General features: G+C 39.4%; 1 protein-coding gene across 27 annotated transcripts in view; it reads right to left on the minus strand.

Moving 5' to 3' along the window:
* ARHGEF9 (Cdc42 guanine nucleotide exchange factor 9) overlaps positions 201 to 17038 on the minus strand; it is a 150248-nt gene continuing 133410 nt past the window's right edge. For all 27 annotated transcript variants that reach the window (NM_001173479.2, NM_001353922.2, NM_001353921.2 and 24 more), the window contains 2 exons: positions 9214 to 9282; positions 201 to 3443 (listed from right to left, as the gene is read on the minus strand). In NM_001173479.2, the coding sequence (NP_001166950.1) occupies positions 3262 to 3443; positions 9214 to 9282 (251 nt within the window). In that variant the 3' untranslated portion in view covers positions 201 to 3261. The remainder of the gene's footprint in view (positions 3444 to 9213; positions 9283 to 17038) is intronic.

Below are 17038 nucleotides of genomic sequence, written 5' to 3' on the forward strand. Positions count from 1 at the left end.
CCACTCTTCCAGAAAACACATGCAAGGCCATAGGTGGCCCATAGGATGCCTGGGAATAGAACAGCAGGGTGGGCAGGTCAAGGCTGGGTTGGGGTAAGCTGCCCCACACCAGGCAAATTCCCTTTATTTCACAATTGGCAAAACACACACACACACACACACACACACACACACACACGAACGAGAGCTATGCCAGGAGGTGTCTTTTTACTTCTTTTATTGAACTCCATAAATATTTTCATAAGGCTTTGTGTCATTACAACATTTTTTTTGTTAAACATTTTTTAACACACAACTTTGACACTTGTTTGACAGAGTCAGTCAGATAAAAGAAACAAAAGAATAAACTGGCAAATGCAGAGCAGCAAGGGTAATCAAAGTCACTGTTGCCCATCCATCCACCCCAGCCCACCCCATCCCCAAAGCACTAAAAGATCACTATTTGGCTTCACACTAGAATTGTTAGAACTCTCTTGTTGCTGTTCTTATAGATCCATTAGAAATATACACATAGAGAGGGGGGGAAAAAGAGAGAATAATTAGATGTCTGTCTTAGGACTCCCCACAGCAGGTCCCATTGAACACACTAGCAAAGCCTTTTGGAGAGCAAATCCTGGCCTCACTGAGTTGAGGAAAAGGGAGCTCAGGGCCATGCGGAAATTACAACATTACAGAATTACTGGGGTTACCATTGCTGTCAGGACATAACAGGTTAGGATACTGAACCCAGGTATTTAATTGGGCTCCCCTTGGGGCTGTTGGCCACTGGTCTGCTTTGATGCTATAGGCTGAGGGAATACTCCAACCAATGGGGAAATGATTTCTTGTTGTTCACAAATTAGTGGCATCAGGTGATGCCAGTGGGTTCAGTAGAGGAGAAGTGCGGGTTGAGAAGTAATATCCCTGATCCTGGAGCCCTGGGCAGAAGCCCCAAGGAGGGAGGAAATGAGAGGGCCTAGTCAAGAAATGTAGGCCCAGAAACTTGTCCAAGCATCCCCTCCCGGTGTGCTGCCAACCCTCGAAGAAGCATGTCAAGGCCAAGCCTAGTAAGGAGGAGTGAGAAGTTGGAAAAAGAGGTACACTGAAGGGAGGCCTGCATAGCTACCAAAACACTCTGCCAGACAGGATATTTTAGCCTGGGTGCTGGGCACCAGGACCCTTGCCAAAGAGGCTTACGTAGTTAGGTCATGTGCTGAACAGTGGTGGCCAGTCCCGAGCCCCGGCCCTCTCCCCAGATCAGGCTCATCCTTGACTTATAATACAAGTCTGACTTGGTTGTGATGGAATATAAACTTAAATAGCTTGTAATTTGATTCCCACAAAGAAAAGATTCCCAGGCTGGGCAATGCCTGGTCTGGATCAGGAGGCATAGAGCAGTAAACATGCTAGCTATGCTGAAGCCTCCACACAGCTATGGCTGCTGCTTGGTAAGCTGAAGTCCTGTCATGATGAAGTCTTCTCCCATGGGGTTTAGGACAGACTCCCAGTCTCCACATTCCTCACTACAGTGGCTTGCTCTTCACAGCAGAGTTCATCCTTATTCCCTTATACCCTTTTTGTTGTTCAAGGTCTATCCATGAAAAGGGCTATGTGTGGAGGAAAAACAGGTACTCCAACATCCATAGGAAGCCTGCCTCCTTGTGAAAGAAGTTAGATTTTCCCAAGCAAAAAGCTGGCCAAAAGCGAGCCTGAGGGTAGCATCCCTGCCTCAGACACGTTATTCAGAGGGAAAATTGCCCCTGGGCCCCTAACTCACTTGCCCCAAATGTCCTGGGATGAGAGGATGTTGGAAACACGGCCTTCTTTGAGTGCCAGAACAGCTTTAACTATATCAATACCAAAAATCCTCCTGTGCTAGGATGGCAGGAGAAAGAAGAAAGAGAGAGGGAAAGAAAGAAGCCAGGGAAGATTGTCCATGCAATCTGTTAACAATGGGAGAAGTCTCACACAATTTTAGGGTGGTAGAAAATGCAGGTACAATACTGTGGATCAAGGCTATCTCTTTCCATTCCCATCCCTGTTCTTTCTTGTAAAAGGTTACTATCAGACTTGGACCCTGTCCAGGTCAATAATTTGAAGGTAGCTGATGATCTTGATCAGGTGGGCTCTGTCTTGAACCCCTCCATACTTCTATCAATGCTGCCCAAACATCTGTAAATGGGAGCAGGGACAACCAGGACACTGAACTGATTGCTGTAGAGATCACTGCCCTAAACCTATCTGGTACTAGGGGGCAGGTAAATCCCTCTCCTGGGAGGCAGAATCTCAACCTCTGCTTCCAGTTCAGATCTTTTGGGCTAAGGGAGAGACAGGCCTAGGGGGAGACCTATAACAAAAGTGACTTGAAAAAAGAGAATAACTCGATCAAACTAACTCCTAGATGCAAAATTGCAACGACCCAGAAGTGCTGCAACATGGGAAACCCCAGTGATAGAAGAAACAGCCTGAATGCAAAATGTTCCCTGAACAGAAGTCCACTCCAGCATCATCATAGTCTGATACTCCCTTGCTTCTGTTTGGTTTTTTGATCCCTTCACAGTACCTAAAACACAGTAAAAGCAATAGGAATACTGAGCAGTTTTGTCACAGGGCACAACAGAGCATGTCCAGACTGGCATGACTGAGGACAGAGGATGCTGAAAAAAGGTTATTTGGGGCAACTGCAGGGCTGAAGGAACATTTGATAATGATTGGCTGAAGGAGAGGAGAAAGGAGCTCATTCCCTTCCTCAATGGAAAGTAAAAGAGGGGAAAAAACCCTGAAACCTCCCAACTCTACCACATCAAATAAAATTAAAAATTCATCAACATCAGTATCATCAGAAAAAAAACAATACAAACACATCTATCGTAATAATGACAAGGCAGTGAATCACTCACAGGGGAGTAAAGAGATTATCTTAACAAGAAAAGCAATGAATAGAAATGTCAACTTCTGAAAGCAAAGGGAAGGGGGACAGGGTAAAAATGGAAAACTTTTAAGACGGAATCACATGTTTGGAAGTCATTGGTACCTCTTCCTACCAACCACATATTTCACTTCCCCAAAACAACAGAAAACACTTTTGTTCCTTATCTCTCTGTGTGTGTGTGTGTGTGTGTGTGTGTGTGTGTGTCTGTGTGTGTGTGTGTGTATGTGTACTCAAGGGTCTCTGTGTGTGTGTGTGTGTATAAATTTCAACAGTGCTTCTCCGAAAAAAGGTCCATCTATAAATATAATTTTATTTACTTTATTTTAAAATTATCTGCCTCCCTGTAGGTATCATTTTTTGAAGGGGGTTAACCTGCTGAAGTTTTGCCAGAATGGTGACTGGCTGCGCTTGGGTTCGGTGAACTCAAAGACCTGCGACTGAGCGATGCCGTCGGGGACCAGGTACTGGCCGTGGTTTAACGGGTCCTGCGGTGGTGGGTAGGAAGGAGGAACTGAGCGGGCAGAGTTGACACCTAGAGTAGATGAGAGATCAAAGGGAAAGGGTATAAGTTATGTAACAAAGGGCTTCTCAAATTACCCAGTGACCACTCTGGGCAGACAACTCAAGGCAGACTGGTTTAGAGAGTGTGAACTGGTTTTACAAATCATCCAAGGGGAGAATTCCTCTTTCAAACAGATTTTGGAATACCATGGCTACTATTGCAACCCTACACACTTCCACATCTAGTCAGGTATCAAAGAAATTTGGGGTATTGCTATAATCTGTTTTACAGGTGAGAACACTGATATCTGAAAAGAAATGTTATACCCAAGGTCACATGGTAAGTTAGCGACAAAGCAAGGGTTAGAACCTACATTCTTTGACTACTCAGTTCAGAGCTCTTTCCAAGACACCAGAATCCCTTATGCAGGGGTTGGTCCTGCAAAGAACCCAACAAACTCTATTTCGCCTTCTCCAGTCCCCCCTGGAAGTTTTAAAAGAGCCTGGTTAAGAACTATTGACTTCAGGACAGGTTTCTAGGAGAAATTTTCTAAAAGCATAAGGTGCAAGTGATTTAGTGTTCTGTCCTGGGTTGAGAGTGATGAACCTGCACTTAATAGAGAATTGACATTAGTAGGTGAAGGAGAAAGTAAACTTACTACCAGAAGGTATAATTCATGGGGAGCAAGGAAGACGGAATATGTGTGTGTCTTTTCAAACGGAATAGCTTAAATGATACTAATATTAAAAACCTTCTCAACATTTGTAGGTAGGTTTGCAACCATCAAAGCAAAATCCACATTAATGGAGGATTCCAGGAACCTGGAGGCCTAAAGTGAAAGTTTAATCCTGATCTACATTCAGAGCAGAATAGGACAAGACATACAGCATATAATTCAGACATGTCAGGAAGGCTTCTCTGCTGCTCCCAAATACCTTCCTCATCTGCTACTCAGGGTCTGAAATTCCAACATTACAGTTACTTTTTTTGCCTTTGCTTGATGACTAAGTCCCTTTGCCTGGAAGTAGTATCATTTAAGCCATCATCAGCCACTGGCACTTCAGTGAGAAAGATCAGAATCTTTTCTAAGAGCTAGTTTTGCAAGGTGGTAAGTGTCAGAAGTATGAGGGTACTGAATGCCAACAGACAATACGCAGATATTAGAGAGGGAATTTTGTTACTAATTTGATTTTTTTTAAAAGCATTTATTTGAAATCATTACAGATTCACATGCAGTTTTAAGAAATAATAGAGATCCTGTGTACTCTTTACCCAGTTTTCCCAATGGTAACATTTTGCAAAACAATAGTACAATAGTACAATATCACAGCCAGGATATTGACATTATAACAGGATACAGTCAAGATATAGAACATTTCCATCATCACAAGGATCCCTGTTGTTACACTTTTATAATCACAATCTCTTCTGGGTATATATCTAAAATAAAGGAAATCAGTACGTTGAAGAGATATTTGCACTCCTATGTTTATCACAGCACTATTCACAATAACCAAGATATGGAATCAACCAAAGTATCTGTCAATAGATGAATGGATGAAGAGAATGTAGTATACATACACAGTGGAATATTATTCAGCCACAAAAAGAATGAAATCCTATCATTTTCAGCAACATGGATGGAACTGGAGCTCATAATGTTAAGTGAAATAAGCCAGGCACAGAAAGACAAATATCAAATGATCTCACTCAAATGTAGGAGCTAAAAAAGTGGATTCCATGGAGGTAGAGAGTACAATGATGGTTACTAGAGGCTTGGAAGGATGGTGTTAGGGAAATGAAGAGAGGTTGGTTAATGGATTCAAAAATACAGTTTGATAGATGGAATAAGTTCTAGTGTTCAGTAGCACAGCAGGGTAACAGTAGTTAACAATAATTTATTGCATATTTCAAAATACATAAAACAGAAGACTTGAAATGTTCCCAACACAAAAAAATGATACACGTTTAAGGTGATAGATATCCTAATTACCCTAATTTGATCATTACACATTGTATGCATATCAAAATATCACATGTACTCAGTAAAGATTTACAATTATTACATATCAATACAAAATAAATTTAAAAATCAATTGGGCATATTTGTGTACATTTATTTCTGGGTTCTGTGGCATTGATCTGATATGTCCACCCTTCTGCCAAAATTACGCTGTCTTGGTTACTGTAACTATATAATGAGTGTTGAAACTGGGTAGATTGATTACTCACATTTTATTCTTTTTCGAGATCATTTTTGCTATTCTAGGGCACTCATTTGATTTTGTGCTGGCCCCAAGGCCTCTGGAGATGGAGTCTGTGCTCATAGCCATGGGGAGCTCTATACTGATCTAGTTAATTAGGTTTATGTACCAGGAATTAGCATAAAACTTTCAAGAAGTTATATATCAATACTTAAAATGAAAGCAGCGTGAAAGACAAAGGTCAAGTGAAAAGGCCTTTCTTGGAGCTAGATCTGGTATTCTCTACTGTTATTTCAGCCAGGTTCCCCCTCTCCCAGAGCAGTAGACTGAGTTGATAATGTCCCAGTGTTACAGATGGTGTTGGAAAGGGACATTAGAGTAGTTACCTATCTAATGACATCCGCATTGGAGACCTCTTAACAATGCCCCTCACTTCCTGTGATGGGTCATTGAAAAGCTCAAGGAAGCCAGCTTTCATGGTTATCTTAAATAATCCCTTCTTGCTCTTCCCATGTACATATTGTAACTACTGAATTCCTACATTTGAGAACCACTTCCACATGTATGGCACTCTTGAGTCTCAAAACATATCAGTTACTACAGCCCTGGACTAGGAGTCTTGAAGACCAAAAATAGAAATAAGGGAGGAGATTTGTAGTAATCCTGGGAGGTTTGAAACTAAATGAAGCTGGGCGCAGTGGCTCACATCTGTAATCCCAGAACTTTGGGAGGACGAGGCGAGGGGATCACCTGAGGTCAGGAGTTCAAGATCAGCCTGGCCAACATGGTGAAACCCCGTCTCTACTAAAAATACAAACATTAGTCGGGTGTGGTGGCAGGTGCCTGTAATCCCAGCTACTCGGGAGGGTGAGGCAGGAGAATCGCTTGAAACCAGGAGGCAGAGGTTGCAGTGAGCTAAGATCACACCATTGCACTCCAGCCTGCACGATGAGAGTGAAACTCCATCTCAGGGAAAAAAAAAAAAAAAAAGAAAGAAAGACAGAAACTAAATGAATTTCTTTGAAGACTTTAGAATTGCTGTTAAAGAAAGAAAACTGTTCAAGTGAATCAGTATTTAGACACTGGGAGACAAGAAAGGCCCTAAAAGGAATGGCCTGGAGATACATAGGGTGGGGAAGGACCTTGACCAAAATGCTTGGCATGAGTTAGCAGGGCTATCTTCTGGTTAACCAACTCCTGGTTGCTTTATAGATATTCCTTTGTTTGAAGTGTTCTCAGTGAAAAGACAATTCAGTCTCAGATATGCTTGAGGAACCCAGGCTTGGATAAAGGAGTACCATAAAGGTCAGTATGGTGGATGTGATGGTTAATAGTGTCAACTTGACTGGATTGAAGGATGCAAAGTATTGTTGCTGGGTGTGTCTGTGAGGGTGTTGCTAGAGATTAACATTTGAGTCAGTGGACTGGGAGAGGCAGACCCATGCTCAATCTGGATGGGCACCATTTAAACAGCTGCCAGCATGGCCAGAATAAAAAGCAGGCAGAAGAACCTAGAAACACTAGACTGGCTTAGCCTCCAAGCCTACACCTTTCTTCCATGCTGGATGCTTCCTGCCCTCAAACATCAGACTCCAAATTCTTCAGCTTTGAGACTCGGACTGACTTCCTTGCTCCTCAGCTTGCAGATGGCCTATTGTGGGACCTGGCGATTGTGTGAGTTAATACTCCTTAATAAACTCATATAAACTCATATATATATATATGTCTCCTATTAGTTCTGTCCCTCTAGAGAACGCTGAAGAATACAGTGGGGGAAGTAGAGGAAATCAGAGTGAGAAAGTTCAGGAGTTGAGAGCGTCCAGGAGACAAGCTGTTAGGACAGTATCCCTTTTGCAGCCTGAAAACTTCAGTTGGCTGGGCTCTTTTCTGCTCACATTTCTGTCTGAGGAACTGGAGCAAAATCTTACCAAGTTCTGTTAATACAGGTCATATCCTTACTGACATTAACTCCAGATTGCTTTCTAACACCATCTCTCACATGTTATTATAGCAATCAAAAGGTTAGGAGTTAATTCCCCACCTTAAATTAACTCCCAACTTTTTGGTGGCTAATTAAGGCTGGCCTCATTCCCTATATAAGGGGAATCACATTCGCATGATGAGGAAAAGAGACAATAAGGGCCTCCCAAGAGCAAGAAGTAATAAGCAGTTGAAGGGGAGGCATGTCTAGTCAGCGGAGCTAGGTGCACTGCTTAACTGGAAATCAGATGTTCACAGGCATTCAGCCTCAATCAAAAGAAGCTTCAATGGAAAAAAAATAGTGCTTTACATGGCTGCTGGAAATTTCAGGAGACTTGAATCTGATCATTTTGGATGGTGACTCATTCAGAACCACAAAGCCCACTGAGAAAGCAGAAGGAAAGGCCTGGGGAAAGTAAGGTCTCATTAAGATTGCCCACACCTGGGGACAGTGAACATGGCTATCAGTAATAGAAGCAGCTGTCAGTAATTGAGGCAAGACAGAAAACCAAACTCTTCTTTCCAAGCATGGGGCTTCATCAGGACCCTGAGATGGAGAGGAGAAAGCAGTGGACTCTGAGTCAAGTCAAATTAAGTTCAGTTACTTCACTCAAAGACCCTCAGCTACCTCATCTGAGAAATAGAGTTAATAGTGTCCAGCTTCTCAGGATTACCATAAAGATGAAATGAAATAACATATAAAGTGACTGACACTGAATAGGTATTCCAATAAGCAGAAGGTAGTTCCTTCCCTTTGTTTGGCTGAGCATGATAGTTTTGTTCTGGTTCATGAGAAAAGAGAAACTAAAGCTTAACTTCAGATTTAAATTGATTTGCAAGGTATTTTTTCTTAAGTACTTTGGCTTGTAGTTAAGAGAAAGAGAATATCTGAATCTTTTGTCTTGGCTTAGTTTGAGATTCTTTATTGTGATTTGGGTCTCCTGATTTGGCACATGCCTCCAGACCGGTGACAGAAAGCTGAGCAATATCTTTATACTTTTTTTTTTTTTTTTTGAGATGTAGTCTCACTCTGTTGCCAGACTGGAGTGCAGTGGCACAATCTCGGCTCACTGCAACCTCCGCCTCCCAGGTTCAAGCGATTCTCCTGCCTCAATCTCCCCAGTAGCTGGGACTACAGGCACTCAGCTGATTTTTGTATTTTTAGTAGAGGCGGGGTTTCACCAAGTTGGCCAGGCTGGTCTCAATCTCCTGACCTTGTGATCCGCCTGCCTCGGCCTCCCAAAGTGCTGGGATTACAGGCGTGAGCCATCATGCCCAAACTATACTTATTAAATAAAGATCATGTTGTCCATTGATCTATAAATTGTTAGTAAAGTTTCCCTTATTTTTAAGTAAAAAAAAAAAAAAGAGGAACAGAGGTTATATTTTTTGCTATACTCAATGAGCTATCTTTGGATACCAATACCCTATACTATTCACTCCTTAGCCTTAAGCATTTAAAACCATTTGCTACCTGTCATCAAGGACACCTAGGGACCTGGATACTCCTCCACCACCCCCAAGTAAACCTCAGCACAGAAATGGGCCTAAGAATATGTAAGCATATAGCTTATGATTCCATAGTCTTTCACAGAGACTGAGTGGGGCAGCTTTACCTTTTTGCTTAGGGACTTTTCTCACAGTCATTGCAGCCTGCCTCTTCTGGTTTTCAGAAATTTCAAAGCCTAAAAAAGAAAAATATATGATTTTTTAAATGAGAAACACACACCCTTACTGAGTGTATAAATGAGTAAACTTTTCTGTAAGAAAGATTTGCTAAGACATATAAAAAATCTTGAAATACAAAAAAAAAAAAAATCATTCCCTTTAACCCAGTAATTTCTAGGAATTTCACTAAGGAAATTTGTCACAAACTTGAACAAAAACTTAGCTACAAAATGCACAACACAGAATAGAGAGCCAAAAAAAGAATTATGAACATGGGCTAAGAGTCTGTTAATGGAGAATCGTTAAATAAAGCATGACATAGGGAAAAAATATTTTGTAACCAAAAGCAAAATTATAAAGAAAAGGACATAATGAGGCAAAAGATAATTCAAACAGCAAATGTATATATAGATTATAAAAGTTTAAGAAGGAGGAAAAAATCAAATGGAAAATAGTAACAAATAAGTAACAAAACACTCGGTTAAGGGGAAAAAAAGGATATACTTACTGTGGAAAGAATAAAAGGTCTTGCTAAGTCCCAGGCAGGATGAGCATACATAGATGCACATCTACATATTGACTAGTATAATTCCCAAACTTCAGGATAAAAAAAAAATCTGACAAGCTTCACAACAGAAAGGACAGCTCACTTAACAAAAAACAGACATCATAATATTACTAGAATCCTAATCTGAAATATTGGAAGGAATCGCCTTCTATTATTATTATTATTTTTTTTTTTTTTGGAGGCAAGGTTTTGCTTTGTCACTCAGGCTGGAGTGTAGTGGCATGATCATGATCATGGCTCACTGCAGCCTTGATCTCTCAAGCTTAAGCAATCCTCCAACCTTAGCCTCCTGAGTATCTGGGGCCACAGGCTCATGCCACCACACCTGGCTAATTGTTTTTTAATTGTTATTTTTTGTAGACACGAGGTCTCCCTGTGTTTACCAGGCTGGTGTTGAATTCCTGGGCTCAAACGATCCTCCCACCTCAGCCTCCCAAAATGCTAGGATTACAGGAATGAGCCACTGTACCCAGTGTAATAGTCTTCTGAATAAACCCTGGATCAAAAGGAAACCATAACTGAAGTTATAAAATATCTAAAAATAAATAAAAAGGAAATTTTATATTAAAACCTCTGAGATACAGTTGAGACTTTATTCAAAGGAAAATATACTCTAAAATGATTTTTTTTTCACTTTTTTTAATATACTTTAAGTTTTAGGGCACATGTGCACAATGTACAGGTTTGTTACATATGTATACATGTGCCATGTTGGTGTGCTGCACCCATTAACTCGTCATTTAACATTAGGTATATCTCCTAATGCTTTCCCTCTCCATTCCCCCAACCCCACAACAGGCCCCAGTGTGTGATGTTCCCCTTCCTGTGTCCATGTGTTCTCATTGTTCAATTCCTACCTATGAGCGAGAACGTGCGGCGTTTGGTTTTTTGTCCTTGAGATAGTTTGCTGAGAATGATGGTTTCCAGCTTCATCCATGTTCCTACAAAGGACATGAACTCATCGTTTCTTATGGCTGCATAGTATTCCATGGTGCATATGTGCCACATTTTCTTAATCCAGTCTATCATTGTTGGACATTTGGGTTGGTTCCAAGTCTTTGCTATTGTGAATAGTGCCGCAATAAACATACGTGTGCATGTGTCTTTATAGTAGCATGATTTATAACCCTTTGGGTATATACCCAGTAATGGGATGGCTGGGTCAAATGGGATTTCTAGTTCTAGATCCCTGAGGAATCACCACACTGACTTCCACAATGGTTGAACTAGTTTACAGTCCCACCAACAGTGTAAAAGTGTTCCTATTTCTCCACATCCTCTCCACCACCTGTTGTTTCCTGACTTTTTAATGATCGCCATTCCAACTGGAGTGAGATGGTACCTCATTGTCGTTTTGATCTGCATTTCTCTGATGGCCAGTGATGATGAGCATTTTTTCATGTGTCTTTTGGCTGCATAAATGTCTTCTTTTGAGAAGTGTCTGTTCATATCCTTCACCCACTTGTTGATGGGGTTGTTTGTTTTTTTCTTGTAAATTTGTTTGAGTTCATTGTAGATTCTGGATATTAGGCCTTTGTCAGATGAGTAGATTGCAAAAATTTTCTCCCATTCTGTAGGTTGCCTGTTCACTCTGATGGTAGTTTCTTTTGCTGTGCAGAAGCTCTTTAGTTTCATTAGATCTCATTTGTCAATTTTGGCTTTTGTTGCCATTGCTTTTAGTGTTTTAGACATGAAGTCCTTGCCCATGCGTATGTCCCGAATGATACTGCCTAGGTTTTCTTCTGGGGTTTTTATGGTTTTAGGTCTAACATTTAAGTCTTTAATCCATCTTGAATTAATTTTTGTATAAGGTGTAAGGAAGGGATCCAGTTTCAGCTTTCTCCATATGGCTAGCCAGTTTTCCCAGCACCATTTATTAAATAGGGAATTGTTTCCCCATTGCTTGTTTTTCTCAGGTTTGTCAAAGATCAGATGGTTGTAGATATGCATCATTATTTCTGAGGGCTCTGTTCTGTTCCATTGGTTTATATCTCTGTTTTGGTACCACTATCATGCTGTTTTGGTTACTGTAGCCTTGTAGTATAGTTTGAAGTCAGGTAGCGTGATAGCTCCAGCTTTGTTCTTTTGGCTTAGGATTGACTTGGCAATGCGGGCTCTTTTTTGGTTCCATATGAACTTTAAAGTAGTTTTTTCCAATTATGTGAAGAAAGTCATTGGTAGCTTGATGGGGATGGCATTGAATCTATAAATTACCTTGGGCAGTATGGCCATTTTCACAATATTGATTCTTCCTACCCATGAGCATGGAATGTTCTTCCACTTGTTTGTATCCTCTTTTATTTCATTGAGCAGTGGTTTGTAGTTGTCCTTGAAGAGTTCCTTCACGTCCCTTGTAAGTTGGATTCCTAGGTATTTTATTCTCTTTGAAGCAATTGTGAATGGGAGTTCACTCATGATTTGGCTCTCTGTTTGTCTATTATTGGTGTATAAGAATGCTTGTGATTTTTGCACATTGATTTTGTATCCTGAGACTTTGCTGAAGTTGCTTATCAGTTTAAGGAGATTTTGGCCTGAGACGATGGGGTTTTCTAGATATATAATCATGTCATCTGCAAACAGGGACAATTTGACTTCCTCTTTTCCTAATTGAATACCCTTTATTTCCTTCCCCTGCCTGATTGCCCTGGCCAGAACTTCCAACACTATGTTGAATAGGAATGGTGACAGAGGGCATCCCTGTCTTGTGCCAGTTTTCAAAGGGAATGCTTCCAGTTTTTGCCCATTCGGTATGATATCGGCTGTGGGTTTGTCATAGACAGCTCTTATTATTTTGAAATACGTCCCATCAGTATGTAATTTATTGAGAGTTTTTAGCATGAAGGGTTGTTGAATTTTGTCAAAGGCCTTTTCTGCATCTATTGAGATAATCATGTGGTTTTTGTCATTGGTTCTGTTTATATGCTGGATTACATTTATTGATTTGCATATGTTGAACCAGCCTTGCAACCCAGGGATGAAGCCCACTTGATCATGGTGGATAAGCTTTTTGATGTGCTGCTGGATTCGGTTTGCCAGTATTTTATTGAGGATTTTTGCATCAATGTTCATCAGGGATATTGGTCTAAAATTCTCTTTTTTTGTGGTGTCTCTGCCAGGCTTTGGTATCAGGATGATGCTTGCCTCATAAAATGAGTTAGGGAGGATTCCCTCTTTTTCTATTGATTGGAATAGTTTCAGAAGGAATGGTACCAGCTCCTCCTTGTACCTCTGGTAGAATTTGGCTGTGAATCCGTCTGGTCCTGGACTTTTTTTGGTTAGTAGGCTATTAATTATTGCCTCAATTTTAGAGCCTGTAAACGAACAAAGCCTCCAAGAAATATGGGACTATGTGAAAAGACCAAATCTATGTCTGATTGGTGTACCTGAAAGTGACAGGGAGAACGGAACCAAGTTGGAAAACACTCTGCAGGATAGTATCCAGGAGAACTTCCCCAATCTAGCAAGGCAGGTCAACATTCAAATTCAGGAAATACAGAGAACACCACAAAGATATTCCTCGAAAAGAGCAACTCCAAGACACATAATTGTCAGATTCACCAAAGTTGAAATGAAGGAAAAAATGTTAAGGGCAACCAGAGAGAAAGGTCGGGTCACCCACAAAAGGAAGCCCATCAGACTAACAGCGGATCTCTCGGCAGAAACTCTACAAGCCAGAAGAGAGTGGGGGTCAATATTGAACATTCTTAAAGAAAATAATTTTCAACCCAGAATTTCATATCCAGCCAAACTAAGCTTCATAAGTGAAGGAGAAATAAAATCCTTTACAGACAAGCAAATGCTGAGAGATTTTGTCACCAGCAGGCCTGCCCTAAAAGAGCTCCTGAAGGAAGCACTAAACACAGAAAGGAACAACCTGTACCAGCCACTGCAAAAGCACGCCAAATTGTAAAGACCATCGAGGCTAGGAAGAAACTGCATCAACTAACGAGCAAAATAACCAGCTAAGATCATAATGACAGGATCAGATTCACACATAACAATACTAACCTTAAATGTAAATTGGCTAAATGCTCCAACTAAAAGACACAGACTGGCACATTGGATAAAGAGTCAAGACCCATCAGTGTGCTGTATTCAGGAAACCCATCTCACATGCAGAGACACACATAGGCTCAAAATAAAGGGATGGAGGAAGATCTACCAAGCAAATGGAAAACAAAAAAAGGCAGGGGTTGCAATCCTAGTCTTGGTTAAAACAGACTTTAAACCAACAAAGATCAAAAGAGACAAAGAAGGCCATTACATAATGGTAAGGGCATCAATTCAACAAGAAGAGCTAACTCTCCTAAATATATATGCACCCAATACAGGAGTACCCAGATTCATAAAACAAGTCCTTAGAGATCTACAAAGAGACTTAGACTCCCACACAATAATAATGGGAGACTTTAACACCCCACTGTCAACATTAGACAGATCAACGAGACAAAAAGTTAACAAGGATATCCAGGAATTGAACTCAGCTCTGCACCAAGCAGACCTAATAGACATCTACAGAACTCTCCACCCCAAATCAACAGAATATACATTCTTCTCAGCACCACACCTATTCCAAAATTGACCACATAGTAAAGCACTCCTCAGCAAATGTAAAAGAACAGAAATTATAACAAACTGTCTCTCAGACCACAGTGAAATCAAACTAGAACTCAGGATTAAGAAACTCACTCAAAACCGCTCAACTACATGGAAACTGAACAACCTGCTCCTGAATGACTACTGGGTACATAACGAAATGAAGGCAGAAATAAAGATGTTCTTTGAAACCAATGAGAACAAAGACACAACATACCAGAATCTCTGGGACACATTCAAAGCAGTGTGTAGAGGGAAATTTATAGCACTAAATGCCCACAAGAGAAAGCAGGAAAGATCTTAAATTGACACCCTAACATCACAATTAAAAGAACTAGAGAAGCAAGAGCAAATACATTCAAAAGGTAGCAGAATGCAAGAAATAACTAAGATCAGAGCAGAACTGAAGGAAATAGAGACACAAAAAACCCTTCAAAAAATCAATGAATCCAGGAGCTGGTTTTTTGAAAAGAACAACAAAATTGATAGACCACTAGCAAGACTAATAAAGAAGAAAAGAGAGAAGAATCAAATAGACACAATAAAAAATGATAAAGGGGATATCACCACTGATCCCACAGAAATACAAACTACCATCAGAGAATACTATAAACACCTCTACGCAAATAAACTAGAAAATCTAGAAGAAATGGACAAATTCCTCGACACATACACCCTCCCATGTCTAAAATGATTTTCTGATTTTGTAAAAATCAAAATAAACAAAGTAAGTATTCAGTCAATGAAAGAGTGGAAAGGATCTAAAATATTCCTTAAATCCTGAAAGTAGGAAAAAGAAGGAAATAAAAGTGAAAATTAAGAAGAAACAGAAATAAACTGCAGAAGGGATAAACAAACCAAAAACACGTTCTTTGAAACGACCAAATGTAAATTAGTACAGCCATTATAGAAAAACAGTAGAAAAGTTCCTAAAAAAATTAAAAATAGAACTACTATATAATCCAGCAATGCCACTGCTGGGTATGTATCCAAAAGAAAGGATATCAATATACCGAGGAAATATCTATGCTCTCATGTTTATCACAGCATTATTCACAATAACCAAAATATGAAATCAACCTAAATGCCCATCAGTGGATTAATGTATAAAGGAAATGTGGCATATATACACGATGTTATATTATTCAGCCATAAAAAAATGAAATCCTGTCATCTGCAGAAACATGGATGGAACTGGAGGATATTATGTTAAGTGAAATAAGATTATTTTCCCTCATACATGGGAGCTGAAAGGTGGATTTCATAAAGATAGAGAGTAGAATGGTGATTATCAGTGGCTCAGAAAGAAAGGCTCAGGTCAATGGAGAGGGGCTGGTTAATAGGTACAAAAACACAGTTAGAAGGAATAAGATTTAGTTTGTGATAGGACAGTAGGGAAATTAGAGTTAATAATAATTTATTGTATATCTCAAAATAGCTAAAAAAAATATTTGGAATGTTCCCAACACAAAGAAAAGATGAGCATTTGAGGTGATGAATATCGCAATTACCCTGATTTGATCATTACACATTGTATACAGGTATCAAAATATCACATGTACCTTAAAAATATGTATAATGATTATATATACATAAAAAAGATCAATACTCCCTGATAAGCCTGATTAAAAGATTAAAGTGAGAAAATAAAAATATATGAAATATTATGAACCCAAAAGAAGAGAGATAACTACAATTATGGAAGATATGATAATTAGAAAATATTATGTGTAGATATATAGCATTAAATTAAAAATCCAGAGGAAATGAACAATTTCCCAGAAAAATAGAAATTATCAAAAGTAATGTACAAAGAGGCAGAAATGTACAGAATCTAAAGAAAACTCTACCATTTTCCTGAAGCATACAGAACAAGATTTTGATGAAAGGAGAGCAGAGCCTTGTCTTAAATGTGAAAACTTAATAACAATGCCAAGCCGTTACATATTAAAAAATTTAATATAATGCCAATCAGAATCCAAATGGGCTTTCTATGCCAGTTTTTACGGCAGTGTTTTTAAACCTAGAATAAATAAATTTGATATTCATATCAAAGAATAAACATCTAAGAACTGCTAAGAAGCAATGATAAGAGTGAATAAGAATTGATTGTACCAGGCATTAAATCTTTCTCAAAATCTACTGTAATTGAAACAGCATAGTCTTGATACAAGAAATGACAAACAGAAGAGTGGAACAGAATAGAAAGTTTAAAAACACATCTAAGTATATATGCAGAGTTACTATATATGAAAAATGGCATTTAAACTGTGTGGAAAATAAATGATTTATTTAATAAATGATGCAGATGCAACTGACTATCCACCTTGAAGAAAAAAATGAGGTCCCCTTTCTCACATCATATAAAAATGTAAATTCCGGATGGATTACTGTTCTAAAAATAAACCAAAAATATATTTTTAATCAGGAAATTTTATAGTTTGGATGGCAAGAGATCTTAAGCAAGATGAAACTAGGGGCCAAAAAAGGAATAATAGATACATTTTTCAAAGTAAAAATTTAAATATTTATAGAAGTAGGCAATATAAACAAACTCAAAAGACAAAAAACAGACTGGTGAAAACGTGAAATTCGTGACTGACAAAGTG

Source organism: Homo sapiens, chromosome X, assembly GCF_000001405.40.
Source record: "Homo sapiens chromosome X, GRCh38.p14 Primary Assembly".
Classification (NCBI taxonomy): domain Eukaryota; kingdom Metazoa; phylum Chordata; class Mammalia; order Primates; family Hominidae; genus Homo; species Homo sapiens.